The 26,799-nt window shown below is 37.9% G+C and overlaps 1 protein-coding gene across 36 annotated transcripts in view; it reads left to right on the forward strand.

Annotated features, from left to right (window-relative positions):
- Positions 1–26,799, forward strand: part of CNTN4 (contactin 4) — a 959,094-nt gene that overhangs the window by 449,405 nt on the left and 482,890 nt on the right. For all 36 annotated transcript variants that reach the window (XM_017005783.2, NM_001350095.2, XM_047447536.1 and 33 more), the window contains one exon: positions 23,146–23,288. In XM_017005783.2, the coding sequence (XP_016861272.1) occupies positions 23,234–23,288 (55 nt within the window). In that variant the 5' untranslated portion in view covers positions 23,146–23,233. The remainder of the gene's footprint in view (positions 1–23,145; positions 23,289–26,799) is intronic.

The following is a 26,799-nucleotide window of genomic DNA, read 5'->3' on the forward strand; positions in this document are numbered from 1 at the left end:
TTGCCTAGGTTTTCTTCTAGGGTTTTTATGGTTTTAGGTCTTACATTTAAGTCTTTAATTTATCTCAAGTTAATTTTTGTATAAGGTATAAGGAAAGGGTCCAGTTTCAGTTTTCTGCATATGGCTAGCCAGTTTTCCCAATACCATTTATTAAATAGGGAATCCTTTCCCCATTGGTTGTTTTTGTCAGGTTCTTCAAAGATCACATGGTTGTAGATGTGTGGTATTATTTCTGAGGCCTCTGTTCCATTCCATTGGTCTATATATCCTTTTTGTTACCAGTACCATGCTGTTTTGTTTACTGTAGACTTGTAGTATACTTTGAAGTCAGGTAGCATGATACCTCCAGCTTTGTTCATTTTGCTTAGGATTGTCTTGGTTATATGGGCTCTTTTTTTGGTTCCATATGAAATTTGAAGTAGTTTTTTCTAATTTTGTGAAGAAAGTCAATGGTAGCTTGATGGGGATAGCATTGAGTCTATAAATTACTTTGGGCAGTATGGCCATTTTCATGATATTGATTCTTCCTATCCATGAGCATGGAATGTTTTTCCTTTTGTTTGCGTCGTCTCTTATTTCTTTGAGCAGCGGTTTGTAGTTCTCCTTGAAGAGGTCCTTTGCATCCCTTGTAAGGTGTATTCCTAGGTATTTTATTCTCTTCGTAGCCATTGTGAATGGGAGTTAACTCATGATTTGGCTCTCTGTTTGTCTATTTTTGGTGTTTAGGAATGCTTGTGATTTTGCACATCGATTTTGTATCCTGTGACTTTGCTGAAGTTGCTGATCAGCTTAAGGAGATTTGGAGCTGAGACGTTGGGGTTTCTAAATATACAATCATGTCGGGTTTTCTAAATATACAATCATGTCATCTGCAAACAGAGACAATTTGACTTCCTGTCTTCCTATTTGAATACTCTTTATTTCTTTCTCTTGCCTGATTGCCCTGGCCAGAACTTCCAATACCATGTTGAATAGGAGTGGTAAGAGAGGCATCCTTGTCTTGTGCTGGTTTTCAAAGGGAATGCTTCCAGCTTTTGCCCATTCAGTATGGTATTGCCTGTGGGTTTGTCATAAATAGCTCTTATTATTTTGAGATATGTTCCATCAATACCTACTTTATTGAGAGTTTTTAGCATGAAGAGGTGTTGAATTTTATCGAGAACTTTTCTGCATCTATTGAGATAATCAGGTGGTTTTTGTCTTTGCTTCTGTTTAAGTGGTGGATTACATTGATTGATTAGCATATGTTGAACCAACCTTGCATCCCAAGGATGAAGCCGACTTGATCATGGTGGATAAGCTTTTTGATGTACTGCTGAATTCCTTTTGCCAGTATTTTATTGAGGATTTTCACATCGGTGTTCAGCAGGGATATTGGCCTGAAATTTTCTTTTTTGTGTTTGTCTCTGCCAGGTTTTGGTATCAGGATGATGCAGGCCTCATAAAATGAGTTAGGGAGGAGTCCTTCTTTTTCTGTTGTTTGGAATAGTTTCAGAAAGAATGGTACTAGCTCCTCTTTGTACCTCTGGTAGAATTCAGCTGTGAATCCATCTGGTCCTGGGCTTCTTTTGGTTGGTAGGCTATTAATTACTGCTTCAATTTCAGAACTTGTTATTGGTCTACTCAGGGATTCAACTTCTTCCTGGTTTAGTCTTGGGAGGGTGTATGTATCCAGCAATTCATCCATTTCTTCTAGATTTTCCAGTTTATTTGCGTAGAGGTGTTTATACTATTCTCTAATGGTAGTTTATATTTCTGCGGTGTCAGTGTTTACATCCCCTTGGTCATTTTTTATTGTGCCTATTTGATTCTTCTCTCTTTTCTTCTTATTAGTCTGGCTAGTAGTTTATCTATTTTGTCAATCTTTTCAAAAAACCAGTTCCTGGAGTCATTGATTTTTTGAAGGGTTTTTCATGTATCTATCTTTTTCAGTTCTGCTCTGATCTTAGGTATACCTTGTCTTCTGCTAGCTTTTGAATTTGTTTGCTCTTGCTTCTCTAGTTCTTTTAATTTTGATATTAGGTGAACAGACACTTCTCAAAAGGAGACATTTATGCGGCCAACAAACATATGAAAAAAATCTCATCATCACTGGTCATTAGAGAAATGCAAATCAAAACCACAGTGAGATACCATCTCACACCAGTTAGAATGGTGATCATTAAAAAGTCAGGAAACAGCAGATGCTGGAGAGGATGCAGAGAAATAGGAATGCTTTTACACTGTTGGTGGGAGTGCAAACTAGTTCAACCATTGTGGAAGACAGTGTGGCGATTCCTCAAGGATCTAGAACTAGAAATACCATTTGACCCAGCAACCCCATTACTGGGTATATACCCAAAGGATTATAAACCATTCTACTATAAAGACACATCCACATGTATGCTTATTGCAGCACTATTCACAATAGCAAAGACTTGGAACCAACCCAAATGTCTATCATTGATAGACTGGATAAAGAAAATGTGGCACATATATACCATGGAATACTACGTAGCCATAAAAAAGGATGAGCGTATGTCCTTTGCAGGGACATGGATGAAGCTGGAAACCATCATTCTCAGCCAACTAACACAAGAACAGAAAACCAAACACCACATGTTATCTCTCATAAGTGGGAGTTGAACAATGAGAACCCATGGACACAGGGAGGGGAACATCATACACCGGGGCCTGTCGGGGGAGTGGGGAAGCTAGTGGAGGGATAGCATTAGGAGAAATACCTAATGTAGATGACAGGTTGATGAGTGCAGCAAACCATCATGGCACGTGTATACCTATGTAACAAACCTGCACGTTCTGCACATGTATCCCAGAACTTAAAATATAATAAAAAAAAAATGCCAGGCGTAAAGCAAGCAGAATCTGTCAGCTCCCTTTCATTTTAGAGGTCTGTGGAGCATGTTGTACAGGTTTGCATTAATTCCTTCAGAACCAGAGAAAGGTATCACTTAATGGAAAACATTACTGATTGAGAAATGGTATGGTTTTTTTGAGGTCTAATGCAATATTTTGAATAGAGAAGAATGTCAGCTCAAAATCTAAAATGTTATATGAATGTCAGGAGAAGAAAAGTGGCTGTATATGTTTGTATATCATGTGTGTACTTGAGTGTATGTAGGCCTACACATGCACACACAAATACACACAAGATTTTCTTACGTTTATCCACATGATAATGGATCAAGACCGTTTGTGATGGCCAAAGATGCACAAATTTATATGAACACCTAAATTATGTTAGGATGGGAGTGAATGGAATGATTTTCATCACCTTAATACTTTGTAATGATCATGAAAGGATTTTTGAAAAAAAGAAAAAGCCCTAATGATTTTTGAAAATAATAATAGCAGAGGGAATCCCATGCAAAATCAGTTTGTTAGGCATGTGAAGATTTTAAGTAATGCAGAAAAGTAAAAAAAATACCTTCCCTAATGGTGATGTACAGAAACATGTTTATCATCAATGCTTTTATAACTTTTCTCTCATCTCAGTTTCTGTTAGAGAATTATGCATAATGGATTGTGTATTTAACAGGAATTCCTCGATTGCAATGGCTTTTTAAAGGTTTTTTTCTTTAGTTATTAATAGAATCTTTCATTTACAGCCTAAATATTGCTGTCATCTTAGAGAAACAGTGAAGTATCAGAGAGGAAATAAAATGGGATAAAATGGATATTCAGAATGTCTTGCTACCTGACCGTTACTTAAAACAAGATACCTTTTCTTTCTTTTCATGAAAACAAAACTATTTGTCTTCACTATCCACTCTGTTAAGGAAAATAATTTTCTCAATATATAAAGTGAGGCATAGAGCATACTTAAGGTAAACTAAATCTTAAGATAAGTGAGGCCAGAGTAAAGGAGCACCAAGCCTCACTTAAATGGGTTCATAGATCTAGGCTGCAGTCTGTTACTGTTGAAACACATGATACTTTTACAAACATAACAAAACAAAAAACAAGAACATTCAGGTGTTTCAGTAGAAACCGACAGAAAAGCGTTTTAGGAATGCTGTAGATTAGGGAAAATTCCAGAGAGCTCACAGAACAACAACTTCACTTCTTTTGACTTTTAAAGAAAAGGTAAAAGAATAAATTCTGGAAAATACAGATACCACCAGAAACATTTGTCTGCCCTTGTAAATTAGGGAATATAGGTTTGGTACCTACAGAGTACAAGACAAATGCTCATCATGTTGTGGGGGAAGCAAAATTTAAAAACATGTGGACTCTACCTAACCTCAGAGAGCTTGCATGCTAATTAAGGAATTAATATGCAATTATAAATTGGCATTTGACAAGTAGCACTGGAAAGGCACAGAAAAGGTGATTTATTATTCAGAGAAGTGGTAACTTTGATCTGTGGACATCTAGAAAAGTTATCTCTTTGGAAGGTGAGCTGGGTATCAAAGAGAGGAGACTTTATTTTAAAAGGCAGGTATGGGGTGGAGAAAACTGTCAAAACAAAGCTATGCAGGCAGTATAATATTGCAGCAAGCTGCTGAATGGAAAAACCAATTTGATGGAACATGGTTGGATGTCAGGGAAATTGGGAGATGTGTTCAGAAGAGTCAGTGAAATTTGACTGCAGATGGTCTATGAGGAAGGTGACGTGCTACGGCATGGCGAAGTGTGTTGAGTAGGCACCCGGAGACTAGAGTTTCTGTTAGTCTCTGTCACTCACTCACTGTGTGTACTTGAGGACCATTTGACCTCCTTGGCAAGTACACGTCTTACCTGGAAAACGACGGTGTCTAGTTGGAGACCAGTGTATCAACTCACGGTGATTCCATACAGCAAATTTTTCTTCCAGGTTTGGGGTAGATCACCAGGTTATTGATTAAACACCACACAAAGTAATTGGCTTGAGTTTAGGAACCATGTTTTGAAAAAACTGTTATATCTTTAAAGAGAAGAATCATCCTCAGCCTGGGGAGATACTCACATTATTTCAGAGACACAAGAACTGAAACCTCCCATGAGAATGGTGGACTGGGTTTGTATGTTCCAACTAGCACTCATTCCGGGGCATGTGCTATCTACAGCGTTCTGTCTCTATAGGTATGTTTTGATGTGCTTGTTTTTATCCTTTTTCACAGCACATATAGTGGAATTCATTTAAATTAATATGTAAGATGCATTTGGGCCTTTCATCTCAAGAACAAGAATATGGAAACCAAAGTTATTTAAAACTCTAGTCAAAGGACTGCCTTGAAATAAGTATCAAAACTCCAATATCAACTTTGGCTTCAAAAAGGAACCTAAAGGCATTTAACAGTGTGTCCTAAGGGATCAAATGTCAAATATGATGGTTACTAACACACAGGAAGAAAAGGACCAGAGCTAGAAACCAGCAGTAATATCTTCCAGTATTTTTGGGGGAGATGGAAGCTGAAAAGGATGAGGAAGAGAAAAGGATATGAACACTGGGTTTCAAACTAACTTTGCTGAATTATGGAAAGAGAAGAAATATTTATTTCTGCTGATATATCATGAAAAGTTACTATTAACTGAATTATTTCTTTTCATTTCACTCTTTTCTATTAAACTAATGATCAAACAGGTTGGTTCTAGCCACTTAGAAAATGATGTTGAATATGTCTTGAACCAAACCAGTAGACGAGTTAGTTTAACTGTATGAATTAACAACTAAAGAAACACAAAATGCTCATTTTTACCAGGAGTTAAAGCTATGTGTTTTCTGTAACTACCAAACTGGAATAAAAAAGTTATCTCAATAATCGGTGTACTGTATATGAATTGATATCTCATTTAAATTAATCTACATCACAAACCTTGTTCAGCTTTACTCCTGTCTGGCCAAAATTAATCTTTATAATGAAGTACCTTAGGTATTTTAGGATACCAGTATGTATTCAAGTGAGCGAATAAAAATTCAGTTGTCTTTGCTAAAATTTCTGGCATGTTTAGTGTTTTAATAAGTTATCTATCCAAATAGGTATTTTAAGGTATTAGTTTCAGACTTCCTTTTGGTAAATGTGTTTATATTTGTAAGTTTTAACTGGCTAGTTTTATAACATATATTAATTTCTAAACAGGATTTAGAGCAAAAAAAAACCCAAACATACTTTGCTTAGTCCACATTTCACTTTACAAAGTACCACTGGTCAGCTCAGTGATACTTTCTCCAGTTTGTGGGTCATTTCATCCTGCATTTGTACAATGATTTTGAGTAACACATCAGTAGTGAGGCCAGCTGATTTTGTTATACCCAGAGAAGACTTTTAAATTAAAGCTTGAGAACAGAAAAAAAAATTACTGAAAATTGAGGATCAGCAAACTTTTCTTGTAAGTGGGTAGGTAGTAAATATATATATTTTTTATTTTATAGGCGATATGATTTTTGTCACACTACTTGCCTCTGCTATAGTATCACAAAAGCAGTCATAGGCAATGCCAAAATGAGCAAGCATTGATGTGTTCCAATATTACTTACAAAAATAGATGTTAGACTTTCGGCCTTTGGGTCTGGGATTTGGCATTTAGGCCATAATTTGTAAGGAATTTGGCCAAAGCTCATAGTTTCCTAGTCGTTGCTAAACATGACAGGGGCCCCAAATGAGGTCCCAAAATGAGTTCTGAAGAACGTTTGTCCCATGGGATTTTCATGGATGAAAAAGTAAATCTAGGAAATGCTGCACAGAATGCCTTTCTTCTTACACACTGAAATTCAATGTCATCTTATTAAAGGCTATAAGACATCTTACAATAAAGTGATCTGTCTCTGTTGGCTAACTCAGTTCCCCAGAACACATGTGACCTTGAAATTCTTTTTGTCATAGATAATTTGAGTATCTGTGATTCAGAAACAAGTTTCCAAACTGATCATTTGGATATCTATATAGATTGTCATATGCATATCTTTATTGAAATATCTTTTTAAATCCGAGTCAACTTCGTGAGTCACTTATCCACAAAGGTAACCAGGAAAAATACTAACCTTCTTAAGTGGTTCTGGATAATTTCCTGATTAGTCCCTTCTTAGGTTCTAACACATTAGCTCCTGCTGACAATTTGAGCCGTTGGCCTTATTCTGCTTTTTCCTCGGTAATTAAATCCATTGTAGTTTAAATCAGTTCAACATATATTTACCATGTACGATATTTTCCAAGCACACCGATTAATGAATGAGAGAGACCGTGTCTCTCCCTTTAGGGCATGGATAGTAGCAAAGGCATAAAGACAAAGGTTAGAATATTATGTGATAACTTCTCTAATAAGAGAAATCCTGAATGCTGTCAAAGCACATATGAGAAGTACTAAACTGTTATTATGAAATCAGAGAAAGCTTTTAGCCTGGAGTTCATCTAAGCTACAAATTTGAAGCTAATCACAGAAGGGAAGAGAGAGGGGAACAGCAGGTACAAAGGTAAGGAGACAAGATTCTCTGATGTATCAAGGCAGTGCATAGTACAACTCTAATATAGATTTATGCTGCAGAGATGGGTGAGAGTTGGATTAAGCAGGTTTTTACTGACTTTGTGAAAGTATGTAAGGTAGGTGGAAAGTTGGAGGCTTGATCAGAGTTGTACTATGGTAATATAGCTGTGGCTGGAACGTGGAGAATGGCCTGGAGGGGCACACTGCTCAGAAGTGAGAATTTCTGAAGCTGTTATGAAGCTTTCCCAGGGAATCTGCCATGGGTAACCTATTACCCCAGGTTCATCCCTTAGACAGATAAGGTGCTGTCAAGACTCCTACCTTATGACAAGAAACCAAGAGCTACGTAATGTTTTTTTCCCTGAAACCATCTGTTTGCTAGTGTAAACATTAAACTGTCTTTCCATTTGGGGGTTACTGGAAATATCATAAAAAGGGAATAATTTTAGACTTTTTTTAAAAACTTGAAAGGAGGCTTTATTATGTATTTATAGCAAAACAAAAATTGGCACCAAGAGGCTAGCCTGAGTTTTATACCTGAAGGAAATGTGGAGGCAAACCTGGGCATTTTCCTTGACAACAGCAATTAACCAAGAAGAGCCTCACCTTAACGTCTGTTTTAAGACAGCAGAACTGGTCGGCATATGAATATACAAACGTTTAATTACACACCCTGCCTGTCCTTGTGAACCTCTGTGGTTTACTTACAAACGCATGAGTTATTTCACGAAGTTATCCTCAATCAGGATGCAGCATAGTGTTGTGTTTACTACATATGAAACATGCACACCTTATCCAGTCTGACACACTGAAGCACTTAAAAGGATGTGCAGTAGGTTTTTTTATAAACAAGTAGGGTTTTTATAAACCATTTTCTTCCACACAACAAATTATACTGTTAACAGCTCGGCCCTGGTAAGTTTTATATATGTGTGCATATATAAATTTTATATATGTGTACCTACAAACACACATACACACACAAACATATAAAAATCACATTTTATATATGTGTGTGTATATGTATATAATACATATATTATTTGGAAGTGTGATTTCTGTATTTTTCCTGTATTCTAACCATATGAGGAATGTCTACTCAACATTGCTTAGAAACACAAGTTCTAAGGTCCAAACTTAAGGGTGTGTGTAGTTTAGTTAGTGGCTGCTATGGTTGTTGGTGGAGAGTCAGATGTTGAAAAGAAATGGAACAAAGTTTTTTCTAAACTTGAAAATGCTGTCTTGAAATTTGCAGCTAAGATGTAGTAAAAGAGGGGCTGGTAGGCAAGAAAAGAAAAACTGTATGTAGGCATGGATCTTAAACAAATCATGAAATTGAATTTTCCTAAAGCAACTTAAACTATTTATGATTTTCTTTGTCCTTTGCCAGATCTCTGAAATAGCGTCAGTCTCAAAATTCATGTTATCACTAATTAGGATTCTATCCTCAGATTTTTTTTGCAGATGATTCAACTATTTCTTAGTTTCCACAGATAACTAAAATTACTACAGTTTCTCCTACCAACAATAGGCCTAGACTGCTAATCCAAGGAGGAAATTTGATGTCAGAAAAAGACACAAACAAAGCAAAAATGCAGTGTTAACAGTTATTCCCACTTTTATCTTTCTTTACATAGATCTCACATCGCATTGCAAGGAGCTTACGCTAGTAGTAAATAAGAAATTTAGGGGAAACCTGCATGCTGCATTTTTAGCATACAAGAAGTACAAAATTCTGGCTTTATTTTTTTCTTCATTAATATGCATGGTAGGCCAGGCATGGTGGCTCACGCCTGTAATCCCAGCACTTTGGGAGGCCGAGGCGGGCAGATCACGAGGTCAGGAGATCGAGACCATCCTGGCTAACACGGTGAAACCCCATCTCTACTAAAAATACAAAACAAATTAGCTGGGCGTGGTGGCGGGCGCCTGTAGTTCCAGCTACTCAGGAAGCTGAGGCAGGAGAATGGCGTGAACCTGGGAGGCGGAGCTTGCAGTGAGCTGAGATTCCACCACTGCACTCCAGCCTGGGCAACACTGCACTCCAGCCTGGGCAACAGAGCAAGATTCTGTCTCAAAAAAAAAAAAAAAAATGCATGGTAATCTTGGTTCTTTTCATACCTACGTTTGACCGTTCAGCAGTCTAATTTTAATTAAATCATAACAAAGTAACAACATTGACTATATTGATTGCATCTTGGGAATTCAGAATTTATTTTTTCACATAATTTTTCCTATGACTAGCTGGTCTTCTGTAGGCAAACTTTTATGATCCTTGAACTTTTTCTGGAAATGATGCAGCAAACTATAAATATAAAATCTGCAATGGTATACTGTATGTACATATCTTTCAAGGAGGATAGCTCCACTGATGTAAAAACAAAAAGATATTAAAAACTCTGATTTTCAAGCTAGAAAATTATTTATGCACCATTGGCTTTATTTTAAAATACATACTTGCAGAAAAGTTGCAAAAATGTCAGCGTTTCCATACGCCCATCACTCTGATTCTACTAATGTTAATATTGTACGTAAGTATAGTATGATCACCAAACCAGAAAACTGACATTGGTATAACACTGTTAACTAAACAACAGACCTTATTAGGGGTTTACCAGTTTTTCCATAATGTCCAGGCTGCAATCCACAATCTTGCATTGTTTATAGCATTCATTTCTTCTTACTCTTCTTGAGTCTGTGCCAGTTCCTGAGCCTTCGCCTGCCTTTTGTGATCCTGACACTTTTGAAAACTACTAGTCAATCTTGTTGTAGAATATTACTCAATTTTCTGATGTTCCCTCCTTTTTTTTTATTGATGTCATGCATTGTTGGCAAAATACCATAGAAGAGTATTATGTCCCTCTCAGTGCACCCTATCAAAGGGCACACGAGGCCAGTATGTCTTATCACTAGTGATACTAATTTTGACTATTTGGTTAATATGGAGTCTACTGAGTTTTCCCAGCATGATATTAGTGTTTTCCCACATTAGCTTTAGACAAAGACACATAAATTCTTAATTTCCTAAATATGATATACTCACTATACTCTTTTATGCCTCAGTTTCCCTGCCTAAAAATTATTATACTGCAACCCTAACCCTCATCTCAACCAGTGTAGTAAGAATTAATGTGCTGTCCTTTGGAGATTCTTGGATAAAACTCACTGTATAACTGCAAATGATCACTCTATCTCATTTTAAAGAAGAACATAAATAGAATGGTTAAAAGTAGATTGGCAGCATGTACTCATTTCACACCCAGAACTACAGAGACATCTGTTATATATGTGACAGGCCAGGCCTGAAATCTGGTTCTCTGAGAACCAGTTAGTGTTTGCCCGATTTGGCCTAAGTCAGCCTGATTAAACAAAGAACATATTTATCACTTGCTACCTAACAGGCTATTACACTAACTAGATGGATAACCACCCATTGATAAGGACAATAAATAACTTTTTAAAAACTGTCACATTCAGGGTTTCTGCTGTTCATATAAGAGGGAAAAAAGTCCCTTGACATACTAAGGATTCTGGATCCATGTGCTGTAATTCTGTCATATTAGTTTGTATCTGATAATGAAGTACCCCACCATTGCAGAGAATGGCAAACTTCGCAAAGTGATTTACTGGCTTTCTACTCTATTTTTATTTTTGAATGTCAGTACTATCAGCCCTGACACAATACACTGGGAGGAAATTGGCCACTTACAGGTCTAGAGGGAAGTAGGTAGGGAAAGGTATACTAAAGAAATAAGGGACTCACATAATCCTCCAAGCCCCGCTTTCCTCTTTGACAAATGGAAATAATCATATACCTGCCTCCTCAAGTTATTGTAAGCATTTGGTAATCTGTCCAAAACCTTTGTATTGTAACTGACCCATAGTAAGTACTCAAGAAAAAAAGAAAAAGGTTGTCATTTTTATCACTTTATCATCTTTCATACCTGAGACCCAGATTTGGGTGCAAAAGACAAGAAAATGGAGGTGAGGCTCTCATAAATAGTGTGGTTTAATTTGCAGAAGGCTTCTGGAAAATGATTTTATACCAAATAAGAATTCAATAGCATTTGTCAAATGGGGTGGAAATATCCCACCATCTGCATGTAGTCATGAACTAAAGCATGATGATACTGAGGTGTACTTCTGCTCTTTGAGAGTATGTGTTCATAGGCAAATAAACCTAGAAAATGAAGAAGAATGCAAGCTCCATGATAGCAGGACTGAACTTTACCGTGATACCCAGTGCTTGCTGGTACAGTGTCTGACATATTGCATGTGTTCAACGAATATTTTCAGATGAATGTTCTAATAGTTAGCTATAAATACATAATGGCACAGGATCTTGAATACACAGTTTATTTACCATTACATGAGATGGGAGATCCCATATTATAGTTTAGCTAAAAAGTAGGGGGATTTCCTGTCCCAACCTCCACTTATATTGTTATTATTATTATTCTTTTTCTTTTTCTTTTTTTTTTTTAAGACAGGGTTTCACTCCCATCACCCAGGCTACAGTGCAGTGGTGCAATCATGGCTCACTGCAGCCTCGATTTCCCAGGCTCAGGTGATTCTCCCACCTCAGCCTCCTGAGTAGCTGGGACTACAGGAGTGCACCATCACACCCAGCTAACTTTTTGTATTTTTAGTAGATATGGGGTTTCACCATGTTGCTCAGGCTGGTCTCGAATTTCTGGGCTCAAGTAATCTGCCTGCCTTGGCTTCCCAAAATTTGGGGATTACAAATGTGAGCCACCATGCCTGGCCCACTCCACTTATTTTAAGAGAATGACTTCTGACTTCCTTCTAAGTAAAACAACACTTATATTATGTTCCTTTTGCATTATGGTGGTAACCATTTTACTTGTGTTATCTCATATACTTCTCTACAAACTTCTGAAGTAGGCTCAGTATCTCCGTTTTATGGACACAAAACTGGAGGATCAGAAATAACTTGCCTAAAACAATACAAGTCCAAGACTTGAACTTAAGTCTATCTACAAAGACCATTTATGTTCTTGACTGATACTGTTGCATTTGTGCACTGTTGCAGCCCTCTTAGAGTATTATATTATCTTCCCCCAGTAGAGTAAAATAATCTCCATGAGGGAAGACCCTGTCTTATTCATTGCTGTATCGTACTGCACGTCAGTTACTAGATGTTCAGTCACTAATTTGTAAGTAAAGGATAGAGTGCCGTAGTAGATTTTATTTAACACCCTACTTTGGTATAGCCTATTACAACTTCAGTTTTTATGTTTGAAATCTTATTTCTGCTTCTGATTAAGCAGACATAGACTCCCTTTTAGGCTACCAGTTATCTGATTTTCTGATGTGGCTGTCCGAGCAATCAGCAAGCTGTGCGTAATGATGGACATACTAGTAAGCTTACTTCCCCACTAAGTGTATCCAAGTAAAAGCCCTGAAAGTCACACGGTTCTTGCCACTTTTAATCTGACACCTAATATATTAGGTATTAGAGTGTTTTGTGCTTACCTTTAGCTCTTCTTTAGTTTAGGTGATTAAAAAATGCCTGTTGCTGTCTGTATGTGCAGCATGCTTCATTAACAGTCATTTATTTGGGAGGTTAGCAGAATTGGCACTCTGCAGCACACCAGCGAGCAGAAGGAAAACAAACGTGAGATGATTGCTAAGAAATCCTTCTTTCCTGCTCTGGTGATAGAAGCTTTAAGAGTTTGCAAAGTTTACTTCCCAGTACCCAGAAAGCATGGGAAAGAGCAGGGTTTCTGGGGATTGCAATTTCCCCCAAGTCCCTTGCATCCGCTCTCCTCCAGTGCTCAGTGGGAAATCCAAGGGGTCATGGATTTCCCCCTTTGGCACGGTGTGCTCCCTGTATTTGTGGTCTCCCAGAACCAGATCCTTCCACTGCTTGCCCCTCTTGTTTTTTCCAGCAAGTTTGCCGACTCAAACTTTTTCTAGCAGAATCCAATTATATGGATTTTCTCTCATATTCCTTTCAACAACCCTGTATTTTCACTGTCACTTTATGAAAGAGGAAAGTGAGGCTAACAGAGGTTAAATGACTTGCCCAAGAACAACAGCTAAATGGTAGAGCTGGGATTTAAACCTGGCTTGTGTGATTCTAAAGCCAATGATCTCATTGCCATAGGGAAGCAAAGGAATTTTTATTTTACTTGAAACCTGTATTGATTTTGTCATGTGTACTTGAAATGCCATGCTGAGAGGATTCTGGGGCTGCCCTTGGGCTAAGCAGCAAAGAGTGCCATAATCAATTAGCATTGCTTTCCATAGGAGTGGGACAGAGGAGTGGAGGTGCCATGTATTTTCCTGTCTTGAACTATGATCTACTTTTGTTCTTGATTTTATTGTAATAAGACTGTAATAACACGGGAATGACATTCTAAAGGAAGGATGAAGTATCTGAGGGGCAATCTAAATGCAAGATGAAAATACCACATATTTTATATATAAACTACAATTGCCTGCTGTTCTAATAATAAGGCTACATATACCTATTTGGGAGAAATTCAACAGAGTGTTTAAATATCCACAATCTTAAGTCAAACTTCATAATCTCAACTTTTATTTTAAATTCAGGGGGTACTTGTGTGGGTTTGTTACATAGGTATATTGTGTGATGCTGAAATTAGGAGGACAAATGACCCTATCACCCAAGCAGTGAGCATAGTACCCAATAAGCAGTTTTCAGCCCTTCCTCCCCTCCTTCTCTCTTTGTTCTACTAGTCCCCAGGGTCTACTGTTCCCATCTTTATGTCCCTGGATATGCAATATTTAGCTCCCACTTGTAAGTGAGATCACCCAGTATTTGTTTCCTGTTCCTGCATTAATTTGTTTAGTATAATGGCCTCCAGCTGCATCCATCTTCCTGCAAAGAACATCATTTCATTCATTTTCATTGTTGCATAGTATTCCGTGGTGTGTATGCACCAAATTTTCTTTAATCCACCATCGATGGGCACGTAGGTTGATTCTATGACCATGAATAGTGCTGTGACAAACATACAAGTGCATGTGTCTTTTTTTTTTTAATTATTTCTTTTCTTTTTTTTCCTTTTCTTGTTTTTGAGACAGGGTCTTACACTGTCACCCATGCTGGAGTGCAGTGGCACGATCTTGGCTCACTGCAGACTCCAAATATTGAGCTCAAACAATCCTCCCACCTCAGCCTCACAAGTAACTGGGGCTAAAGGCAGGAGCCACCACGGCTGGCTAACTTTTAAATTTTTTTTTTGTAGAGATGGTATCCCCCTGTGTTGCCCTGGCTGGTCTCGAAGTCCTGGACTGAAACAGTCCTCCTGCCTCAGCTTCCCAAAGTGCTGGGATTATAGGTGTGAGCCACTGTGCCCAGCCCAATTTATTTTTCTCTGGGTATATACCCAGTAATGGAATTTCTGGGTCAAATGGTAGTTCTGTTTTAAATTCTTTAAGAAATCTCCAAACTGCTTTCCACAGTGGCTGAACTAATTTACATTCCCACCAAAGGTTTATGAGCATTCTCAGGATTCATTTTGGGAGTGATAGAAATATTCTACATCATGATGGTGATGGTGGTTGTATGACTGTATAAGTTTTTGAAATCTCATCAAACTATACATAAAAAGAACGCATGTCAGTGCATAAAATATACAATAAACAGGGAAAATCAGAGAAAGTTCTATCTATTACTTATTAATTTCAACTTAGTTAACCCATAAAATTAAAATCATATTGTTGTTTACCTTCAAGGTTTTTTTAAAGATTATATGAGTTAACAAATAATACAGAAACTACTATATAGTAAATGCTGTTTAAATGGTATCTATTATTTATCATTTCACCAGTTGTTTTGTACTATATTCTACCATTACGTTATCTCCAACATTGTTTGCCAGTTTAATCACATACCCTTTTATGTTGCTGATTTACTACATTGTACTGTATACTCTCACAAATACATAAGCTTCATATGTATGGATAATTGTGAGAAAAATCATAGCTTTGAATACATGGCTCTTCTGTGTTTAACTAAACAATGTTAGAAGACTAGAACCATTCATGTCTGTTTTTCAACTGAATTGCTGAAGTGTTAAGTATCTATATGTCCAAATAAATAATACTTATTAAAAATGATGGACTGTAAGGTGTGTTTAAAAATATTGAAAGCATTAGCTATGATAGAATGTTTAGGATGAATTTGTGGTATATACTTAGAAACCTGTTATTAAAGAGGAAATAACAGTAACTCAGAAAAAACAAGTACTATAAAAAAAAAAAGAAAAGCAGTATACTCTCAAGCTCAGCTAACAAATTACCAAATTATGTGCTATAACTAAGTTTAGACAACAGTGAAGCAAGGTATGTTTGTATTTGTGTATTCCTGTCTGTCATTGGGAATGATTAAGAGAGTTGAATATCATCATTCATAAAAGAACTTAGTACATATGACAAAAAAATCAAGAAATAGTAGTATAAGCATGTTATTTTTTCAAATTATCATTGTTGAACTACTTAACAGAAAAGCAGTTTGTTGCCCCTGGACAATATTTACCTATGGGGACTAACAGCTAGTATTTAAGCTATGTTCAAGCATTCCTTTAATAAAAGTAAAAGTTAAATAAAACTTTAAAAAATTACAATAAGTGATTACTTAGTGAAGGCTGTGGATAGTGAATGTGGACTTGTGGCTTGGAGTTAAATTTTCAGTAACAGTTTAATACATAGAATTTAAAAGCAATATATCTAAAACAATTTTAATGGATGGGAAGATGATATAATCCGAAAAATTGTTACAAGCCTCAAATGGCTCTAGGGATGACAAAGACATAGTCTTTACTTCATTTAACTAATTAAATATTTTTGGCATATATAACCTTCTTCTTATAGAATAATGTAATTCAAAGTTTCAAGAATCCTTAAAAACAATCTGGCCCAGTCCCGTCTTCTATTCATGAGGAAACTTGTCCAGCAAGCAAATAACAGCACTGAGCCTGGAACGCAGTTATTCTGAATCTTATCCCAGTGATCTTTTGAAATATCACTGTGATTATTGAGGTTACTTCCGTTTTTTGAAGAGGGTCTTCTCGGTAGCAAAATATAAAGGTCCAACATCAAAGGTAGAATAAGGTTTTCTATAAGGGGAAAGTATATTTTGAGAAATCCGTAGTGGGTTTATACTTTAAGAAATTTCAATGAAAGACTTTTCCAAATTAATCCGTATAACTGTGGACTCTCGGGCTATGGAAGACATCCTTCAGTAAGTGAAATGATGATACATTAGCTACCTGGCTTTTATTTCAGAGGATTTCTGCCTAATGTACTCATATTTATGGTTAGAATCTTCACAAGTGGAAAGTCTTTTAAAATGGGGAGCAACTGTGTACCTTAGCTGACCCTCCATCATTCCTCAAGGTCCTCTTTAATGTGGTATTATGATATTATGATGGAAACGGTGTCTAAATCAACCATTGGGTAGGTGAGTATGGTCTAAATAAGGGATTCCATCCTATACATGTCTGCCTCTTGTTTAATAGATGTAGCTTCCCGAATATATCATCCAGGTCCCTTATGTCTTCCCCTCTTTTGCACTGTTCTATTCATATTTTCAGATGCTTGGGACAAATAATCTAATGATAAAAACCAATTAACACATATTTTCTCATCATTCCTAGCAGACTACTTACTGCAATCTCCAGTCAAGTTTGAAAGACATCACCTATAGGAATGAAAATCTGTTTTTACTGGTAGATAGAGTATAAAGCTGGTTAAAGGAGAAAATCCAGCAAGTTATTTGATTGACTGATGTGATAGGAATTTTCATTATCCAAGAAGAACCTATAGGCTAGCTACTGTAATCACAGGACATACAGATGACCTGAACTACTCATTTGACATATAAACTATATCTTGTATGGTCAATAATCTTTCCTATCCAATTGAGCTGTAGTGTCCTTGTGGGCGGAGACCTTGACCCAAAACTCTTCATATTTTGCATTTTACCAATTGAATCATGGACATTCAACAAATATCTATTGACTGATTGAACATTAAGATTTTACTGTATGCCATTTTCCTTTAAAATTATTGGCATATTGCTTTCTGAGGAAGCCTATTTAATCTCTTGCTTTCATTTCTGTTTCCCGCTTCCTCGCCATTGTGATTGACTGCACCCCTCATTAGCTAATTGTAGAGTTAGGAAACTCTCAACTCTACAGATGGGAACTGTGGATGATCCTTTTTAAAAATCTCTGCCTTCAGAATGGTAGCACTCTAAATAATAACTAGCAAGAAAGCAAATGTTTATGTTGTTCTTACACTTAGGAGGAAAGAAACTTATTCACAGTTATGCTATCACAAAAGACTTCTGAATTAACACTAGTGAAACGTAGCCTTCCGACAAAGTCTCAGCTCTGAAACCTGTGCTATCCTTTACATTATGAGTATTACAGATTCTGCACCTTGGCTTACTGGCACCTGGCTTCACTTCTGCAGAAGGACAACATGAAAAGCCAAGTTAGAGAGAAAGGAGTCACCATCAGGATGTTATCTCACACTTGAAAAGACACAATACTTTTAGAAGAGTTCATTACCTTTAGAAACTAGTTCAGTATTTGAAGTATGAAGACATAGATTTAAATACTGGCTCTATTGATTTCTAGATATTTAACCTTGGACGAGTTTCATAGCCTCTCATATTCTAATTGCCAAAGCTCTAATTTTATAGAGGATGATGATGCCTGACTCCCAGCCATGTTATAAGGATTAAATGAGAAGTGAATGTAAGATCACGTGGCAGGTCCACAAGAGATGTTAGCTGCCTTTATTCTTTCATTTACATACTAGCTGTTGATTGGCTGCCTGCTCTGGTGGTTCACTATTCTATGTGCCTCTAAAATGTCAATCAAGAATACAAAGATTCCTACCTTCATAAAGTTAAAAATCTATTTGGTGGGGGCCAGGAGGCAGAATTTGAATCCAAGTTTAAATAAACGATGATAGTTAATGCTCACATACAAAACAAGCCAGTGGACCTTCACAGCACACTTGTAAGAAAGATAGGGCTTCTGGCATGATCCCTAACCTACAAGCAAGCAAACATGTTTACAGAGATTAAGTGTCTTTCCCAAAGTGAGGTAATTTGTAGTAAATCCAGGAAGAACTCAGTGTGCGTGAATCCGTGTTTTCCCACTCTGTCTTGCTGCTATGAGGCTTTGAAAAACATACTCTGTTGGAAGTATTCTTAGTAATTAGAGATGTAGTCAACTTGCTAACCAGAGGAGAAAAGCAAAAAAGGTAAAATAGATATTATGTCCTTCAGGGGATTGCATTTTAAGCAGATCTTCATACAGGAAAATAAAATCTTTTTAGGTCTTTCCCTTCTTGAAAGTCATTCTCACCCTCCTCGTAGACTTCAGAATCAAGTCCAGAATTTTTTTTTTTTTTCTTTTTTTCAGACGGAGTCTTGCTCATTGTCCAGGCTGGAGTGCAGTGATGCACGATCTCGGCTCACTGCAACCTCCGCCTCCTGGGTTCAAGCCATTCTCCTGCCTCAGCCTCCCTAGTAGCTGGGACTACAGGCATGTGCCACCACACCCAACTAATTTTTTCTATTTTTAGTAGAGATGGGGTTTTGCCGTGTTAGCCAGGATGGTCTTGATCTCATGACTTCGTGATCCACCCACCTCGGCCTCCCAAAGTGCTGGGATTACAGGCATGAGCCACCGTGCCTGGCCTCAAGTCCAGAATCTTTAATATACGTTCAAAGATGATTGGAGACCAGGCTCTTGATTTACCTTCCAGCCTCTTTCCCCCTCAGCCTATAACTCCCAAACTCAGGCTGCGCTGTGCTGTCTTTAACAAAGATAGCTATGACGTTTCAACTTTGTGCCAGTACCTAAGCTCAGTGCTTTCCATGCATTCTCACTAATCCTTACCATAAGTTTGGCAGATAGATATCTTGCTGCTCTTTTATAGATGGACCACACAGCTGGAGAGTGGGAAGTCTAGGAATAGAGCACAAGTTAGATTCTGCAGTCTACGCTTTTCATTTTCTTGCACTGCTGTAACTTAAAGGTTCTCACAGCTTCTTGCCAGTTTGTTTTCCTTGTCACTTGGCTCAGAATGGCCTTCCTCCCTCTTATTTATCCTTTAAGAATCAGTTCAAAATGGTAGCCCCTTTGAGGAGCTTTCTTGAAACTCCTGCCCTACCCTACCTCCCAGCTCAGTTCAGTGATAATCTTTTGCTTCCTTAACATCTTGTTCTTAATAAACTTACTGCACACATTGCACCGAATTATAATGACTGGTTTATTAGCACCTCCTGCTAAGTAAACTGTGAGCTCCTTGAGGACAAGACCCGCACCTCCCTAACCTCTGCACACCCAGCACCTAGCACCGTGCCTGCCACATGGTAAACACGATTACTTTTTTTGTTGAGCTGAATTAGTACTGTTTGGATACCAGCAACATTTTAATTCAGCAGAGTGTTCAAAACAAATAAATACATGACCAGGCCCTGCATGTAGATTCTTGGAAACCAGGACTCTTAAGGGAAAACTGATTCATGCTTTTGTTTTCAGCACTTTGTACTGAGGTCTTCAGTGTCACTGTTAGTATGAGAATTGTTTGAAGGGTTGAGGGAAGTTTTGTTCTGTGCAAGAATGTGAAAAAAAAAAAAAAAAAAAAAAACCACCCTGTACAATTCTCAGTTATTCATCTCCTCCTGGCTCAATGAGAGAAAGCAATCGAGGCCTGTTTTATTGTGTAGCTTCCTTCTTAGGATTTACGAGTCTCATTCTTGGGCAGGATCTCAAAATGAGTGCTGAGTACACTACCTTTGCTACAGCCACTGTTGGATAAGCCAGAGAGAGCTCACAGCTGCAGGGGAGATCTATTGCCACCATAACTCTTGGCTCATCCTGCAGCTTTCTTTCTGACTCTGACAGAAAAATTGAAATTATGAAACTTCGTATCCTGCACCAGAGTCCCACGTGAGATTCATGAATCTTCAGCTCCCTTCAGAAAACCGGATGCTTTGGTTACCACTGCCCACTGACAAATTACTGTCCACGACCCCATTATTTCTGATTAGCAAAGGTGAACCTTACCTACCTGAATGTAAATAAATGCCAATAGGATTCGTGAAATTCTTCATCCTTAAAAATCTACAGCCCTTAATAGAACATGCACTGTAAATACTATCATATCATGAACTAAATCTTTATCAGGTAATTGGATACATTTCCTAAGCTAATTTTAATTGCTTCCAGAAACTGCTTAACATTGTAGATCAATCCCGAGGTCCGAGATGACATTTCTCTCACAAAATTAATTATTAATACCCTGATCATTTGCTTAAGACATTAATAGTTTTCATTGATCAGCACGTCCTGTTGATCTAAAATGGCCTAATCACCATGCATGTCAGAAGAGTATCTGAACATATCCAATTAGAGATACGGCCAGCTTTCTGCCACATCAGCAGATCCGAAGTTAAGAGTCCCTTTTGTCTTCACAATATATTAAGTCCAGCTCTATCAGAAACTAAGCTATTTAAGGGCACAAAAGAAAGGCGAGTTCTCTAATGATGCTTGTTCATTTTCTGTTAGCTCCCTGGTAAACATACAGGCTTTGCAGTGATCACATGGTGTAAATTAACGCTAAGAGCCCATTATTAAGTAGCTTGTGTTGGCCCATGTTTTCATGTAAGCCTGTGTTTGCTCACAGTGTTTTTCTTATAAGTGGGAGTAAGATGAGAAACTTCAGGTTATTTTCAGCTTAAAAATATTGGGGCTCCCACAGTGTGTACATATATCAAAATATCACATTGTATACCATAAATATATACAATTATTATTTGTCAATTTAAAAATAATATAAATGTAATATATTTTTTTACATGAAAGCTAAAATAACAAGTTGAGACCACAGTAACATCTGGCAATGTAGGGTGCTGCAGAGTTTTCAAAGAAGTTTCATTTACTTAACCAGGAGTTTTCCCTTGAAACAAGATTCAAAGAGAGGCTAGGTGGAGTGGTCTACCTAGGACCACATAACAAGTTCCTGCCAGAGTTGTAAATAGAATGAGATCTCCCGGTTCCATAAATTTCTGGTTTATTTGATTGACTGATGAATAGGTAGCACTCTGCTCATCTTTCAGACCCCAAGGGAAGCTCACCTCCTTTGTGAAGATTGCCAAACAAAAAGTTTCCTCCTTCCTTGATAACGGGATATCATATTGCAATTATATGAAATTCTCAGTAACAGCCCCTACTGGATAAAGAGACTCTAGAGGATAGAGACTGTGCCTTGTTCCTCTTGATGGGCCCAGTGCTTCACCTTGTGTCTGGCAAGCAGAAGATGCTTCACATATACATTCACACATGGCGGGCTGGCAGGATGGGTGGGAGAAGGGATGAGTGGATGAGAGGAACCACAGTTGAGAGTTCTGTTTTACTAACTTCATGTTGCAATCCTTCAGCACCAGAGGGAAATTTGGCTTTACTTGAGTCATACAGTGTTTAATTTTTTTTTTTCTCTGAGACAGGGTCTCCCTCTGTTGCCCAGGCTGGAATGCAGTGGAGTGATTATGGCTCACTGCAGCCTCGAACTCCTGGGTTGAAGCAATCCTCCTGTCTTAGCCTCCTGAGTAGCAGGGACTATAGGCGTGCACCACCATGCCAGGCTGATTTTTAAAAATTTTCCGTAAAGGTGGGGGTCTCGCTATGTTGCCCAGGCTGGTCTTGAACTCCTGGCCTCAAGAGATCCTCCCATCTTGGCCTTCCAAAGTTCTGGGATTACAGGTGTGAACTACTGCACCTGGCCTTAAAAAGTATTTTGAACTAATTTTCAATACTTAAAACTTAGGAGATTTTCAAAATACAGTTATATTTTCAACTTTTCTTTGAAAAGTCGTAGATGCCCCTGCAACCCTGGATCTGTGTTCCACATTACCCATCTGCTTGAGCTGAGGGGCACCTGTTCCCTTAAGCAAGGACATGCCTCCATTCCTCAGAATAACAGTGTCTGCCCACAGCTTCACTCAGTTACTCACTTTGTAGCTTTTGGTAAAGGTAATGAGTGGCCTCTCTTCACTGCAGAATTCTCCTAATTCAGTATTCTTGGCTAACAGAAGTATTAGTGTTCCTAATCATGTTCTGGATATATCCAAATGAACCTAGTAGGCAGCTACTGATAGCTGTTTGGATTTCTCTCATTAGACACTGGAGCTGCATACTTCTGTGGCATGTTAGAAGTGAAACACGGGGCAGAGGGGAAAAATTGTTTGAGTTAATGGGGTAGTCACCATTTTCCCACACGATATAACTCCATTGGAAAAATTGGGAATTTCTACCTGAGGTCCACCAGTGTTAAGCCTATCTTGTTCTGTGGCAGTTCTGTATTTGCTTTTTTTTTAACTAATTGGAAAATAAATAAGAACAGGATCTGGACAAAGAGAGACCTTGCAAAGCATAGTGCATTCCCCTGCCTTCAGGTTGGTTCATGCCTAATCAGAAACTGTTCTTGTCTTCACTCAGAAGCCACAGGGACACTTCAGCTCCAATCCCTGCCCAATTATTATCTGCAAGAAAAAAATAGGAGTCTTATTAGCTTTATATTCATAATTTAACATGTCCCTTTCTTCCCCTCCAATGGTACTTTCCCACAAGTGAGTTTTATTGATATTTGAGTAAAGATAAACTTGCAGAGACCACAAGGAGAAATATTCCCAAATCTCATTGTAATGTCTCTTCTTTCCCACAGATTAAAGGTTATACAAAACTTAAAAGAAGCAGCAATTCTATTCGCTTGTTATTGGACTTGAAACTCCCTTTGACCTCGGAAACTGAAGATGAGGTTGCCATGGGAACTGCTGGTACTGCAATCATTCATTTTGTGCCTTGCAGGTAGAGTGTCATTTTAAAACTTTTTGATTTAGAAATGCCACTGTATTTCACACTAATTCAAAAGTGGGCCTTCACTTTAGACGGCAATGATAAAATCGCAAGAGTATATGCTGCTATGACTAGCATTTGCTGACACTGTTGAATATACCTTCCTGATGGTCTTTTAGTGACTCTTTTCATGGTGTTGTATCCAGAGATAGACACCGATGTTTCACCTGTCTATCTGGTCCTTTTAGAGTCGTTTGAGCCATTATTTAGTTTGAAAGTTGTTATTTTTGCTCATCCCAGTGCCCAGTTGCACAGAGATATTGGGCAATAAAACTGATAATATAGTCTGGAGTGTTGCCTACTTTCATTTCAGTGGATGGACGTTTATCTGGATAGCTCTTTCAGTGTCTTTGTTGATACCACTCCATCTTCTGATACTGACTCTCTTTTTCATTTCAATGTACTACAGTTTAGTAGGAACTAGAAAGCAAAACACAGGAGGTTTTTACCATATACTCATGGCCAACTACTAGAAAAGGGATTTGGAAAGTTCAAACATGGCTGGGCGCAGTGGCTCACACCATTAATCCCAGCACTTTGGGAGGCTGAGGTGGGTGGATCACCCGAGGTCAGAAGTTCAGACCAGCCTGAGTAACATGGCGAAAGCTCATCTCTACTAAAAATACAAAATTAGCCGGGTGCAGTGGTGCATGCCTGTAATCCCAGCTACTCGGGGAGCTGAGGCAGGAGAATTGCTTGAACCCAGAAGGCGAAGGTTGCAGTGAGCCGAGATCGCGCCATTGCACTCCAGCCTGGGCAACAGAGTGAGGCTCGGTCTCAAAAAAATAAAAAAAGAAAAGAAAAGAAAACTTCACACATACTCTCTATTGCTTTCTCCATTTTCTGGAAGATATGAGTCTAGCAGTTGACATACATCATTCAAGTGCTGGTGCATCAGAAGTCCAGCATGCAGCGGGAATTGGTTTGCAGCTTGGGCTGCTGTGTATCATTCCACGCCCCTTTGAAATTAGTCTAGTTGACTTGTTTTGTTATTCAGAGTGTCAAGTCCAAGAGGGACACCTGAATATATTTGCATTTTTACAACATGAAGCAAAAATGACTTTTGGATCACCATTACTTTGATGTATGCATTCACTCAAATAATGTTACTGAGTACCGTGTCACAAGCCAGCCCTGTACTGGGATCTGGGAATATAATCCTGATCAAAACAGACATGCTACTGCTCTCTTAGAGCTCTATTAACTGAGTGCTGTAACTTCTGACAACTTGTTGTAGTAGATTATTTGCAATTGCTATAAAATCAAAAATAATAATGGTAGTACTGACATGTATAGATCACTCATTCTATGCTAGGCAATATGCTAAGCACGTGGTATCCTTTATCCAATTTCTTTCTTCCACGACCCTTAAGAAGTAAGCATTTATCATTTATTTCACTGTATTAACTATGAATATTAATATTATGACTGAAGCATCAGGAAGTTAAGAAACTCACCCAAATTCACAAAGCCAGTAAGTGGTCGAGCTAAGATGTAAACCGAAGCCGACTATAGTCTTGCCTGTTCATAGCGTATGGTCTTTTAGTTGTCTTGAGGATTTGGCAAGTTTATGGTTGCAAATTTAGTTCTGAGATTTTTGTTTTCATTCTTCCTATGTTTTTCTAAATGTAAACCCTCATTTACTTATACATCTTTTAATAGTCTACCTTCATGTTTCAAACTTCTTGCCTTAGTTGAGTTCACGTCTTCCCCGCTGCATGATTGTGAACATCTTGGCATCCCTCTTAGTGATATTATTTATTTCCCCCATCTGGTCAGAGCCTTCATCTTCCTCCCAGCAGTATGCCCAGGCTCTAATACCTCAGTTGTTTTTCTCTGGGACCTTGACCCTCCTAAGGGATTCGACTGACACTTTAGAGTTTTAACTTCTCATAATGACTCTGGTATAAACGTACTCTTTAAGCCATAAAGCAGTGAATTGATTTCTCATATTTGGCTACAGCATAATGTTTATTTAACCCAATGTGCTAAGTAAATATCAAGATATGAAAGGGTTAAAAATCAAGAAAGCCACTACTCTCTTCAGTAGTGTTTTGAAAAACTTGGGGGAATTCTCACCTAAGGTGTGTGTGTAACTGTATCTATTTTATTCACTTAGCTTTTTATAGAGAATCAGTGTATTGATTGTTTTTGTGAGGCTTTTTTGTGACCTGTTTTACACGGCATTAATATTCTCTTACCATATGCCTTCTTCAGTGTAGGAAAGTCAAGCTTTAATTAATGTTTTTGTTTTCTTGCTATTTGTCTTGATTTCATTAATTTACATAGCACTCCACTCGCTGAATTTTGATTTTTTAAACTGCTTTAGGCCAGGCATGGTGTCTCATGCCTGTAACCCCAACAGTTTGGGAGGCCGAGGTGGGTGGATAACCTGAGGTCAGGAGTTAGAGACCAGCCTGACCAACATGAAGAAGCCCCGTCTCTACTAAAAATGTAAAATTAGCAAGGCATGGTGGTGTATGCCTGTAATCCCAGCTACTTGGGAGGCTAAGGCAGGAGAATCGCCTGAACCTGGGAGGCGGAGGTTGCGGTGAGCCGAGATCACGCCACTGCACTCCAGCCTGGGCAACAAGAGTGAAACTCCATCTCACCAAAAACGAAAAACAAAAACAAAACAAAAAACTGCTCATTCTTTTCCTTTTGTGTATCATCCATAACTTTTCTATACATCTTCAGGCTGAGGTTTCTTGGTGAGTTTTTGGTAAGGGATATGTTTACAGCTGTTATGTTTACCATAATTAGTGACTCTCACATATGCCTTTTCCTGATCTTTTTCTTCCCCAAGTAAGACAGGATCCAAATATACAAGCAGGCTCATCCTGCAAGGGATGCAACTGATAAGATCTGTTAATTATTTGAGGGCATTTATTAGTACTTTATGGTACAATGGGAATGTTCTTTTTCGCCAGATGACTCAGTGTCTGGCAATAATTTTCAAATAAACCAAAACTATTGATGCCAGTAATCTAAAAGTTCAGCCACAATGAAAATTGGCTTCATTATTCTTCTTCTTCACCAATTTAAACTCAAGATCATAAAACCCTGCTACCTAAAAAAGCAAGGAAGCTAACAAATGAGTAAAATGTTCTTACAGAAGTAAAAGTGTACAGTGCAACAGGGAATGTTAGTGACTATGGAAAACTAGAAAACAACATGCCCCACTAAAATATTAATCTGTGCCCGGCTCTACTCCTTTGTGACAAGTCTCCCAGTCTTTTTTTTTCAATCTACAAACTCCTAATTCTCTAGGATTTCCATAATGTTAATGAATAAAATTTAAATTGGTTTTAAAAGTAAAAATAAAGGGCCTGTATAAAGCAAACCAAAATGGTCTGCAGGCTAGATGCAGTTCCTAGTCCACCACTTTGTGACACTTTATTTCAAATGTTTGCTTTACAATAAACTATTAGTATATTTTAAAATAGGTAGAAGAGAAGAAGTC

This window comes from Homo sapiens, chromosome 3 (genome assembly GCF_000001405.40).
Source record: "Homo sapiens chromosome 3, GRCh38.p14 Primary Assembly".
NCBI classification, from domain to species: Eukaryota; Metazoa; Chordata; class Mammalia; order Primates; family Hominidae; genus Homo; species Homo sapiens.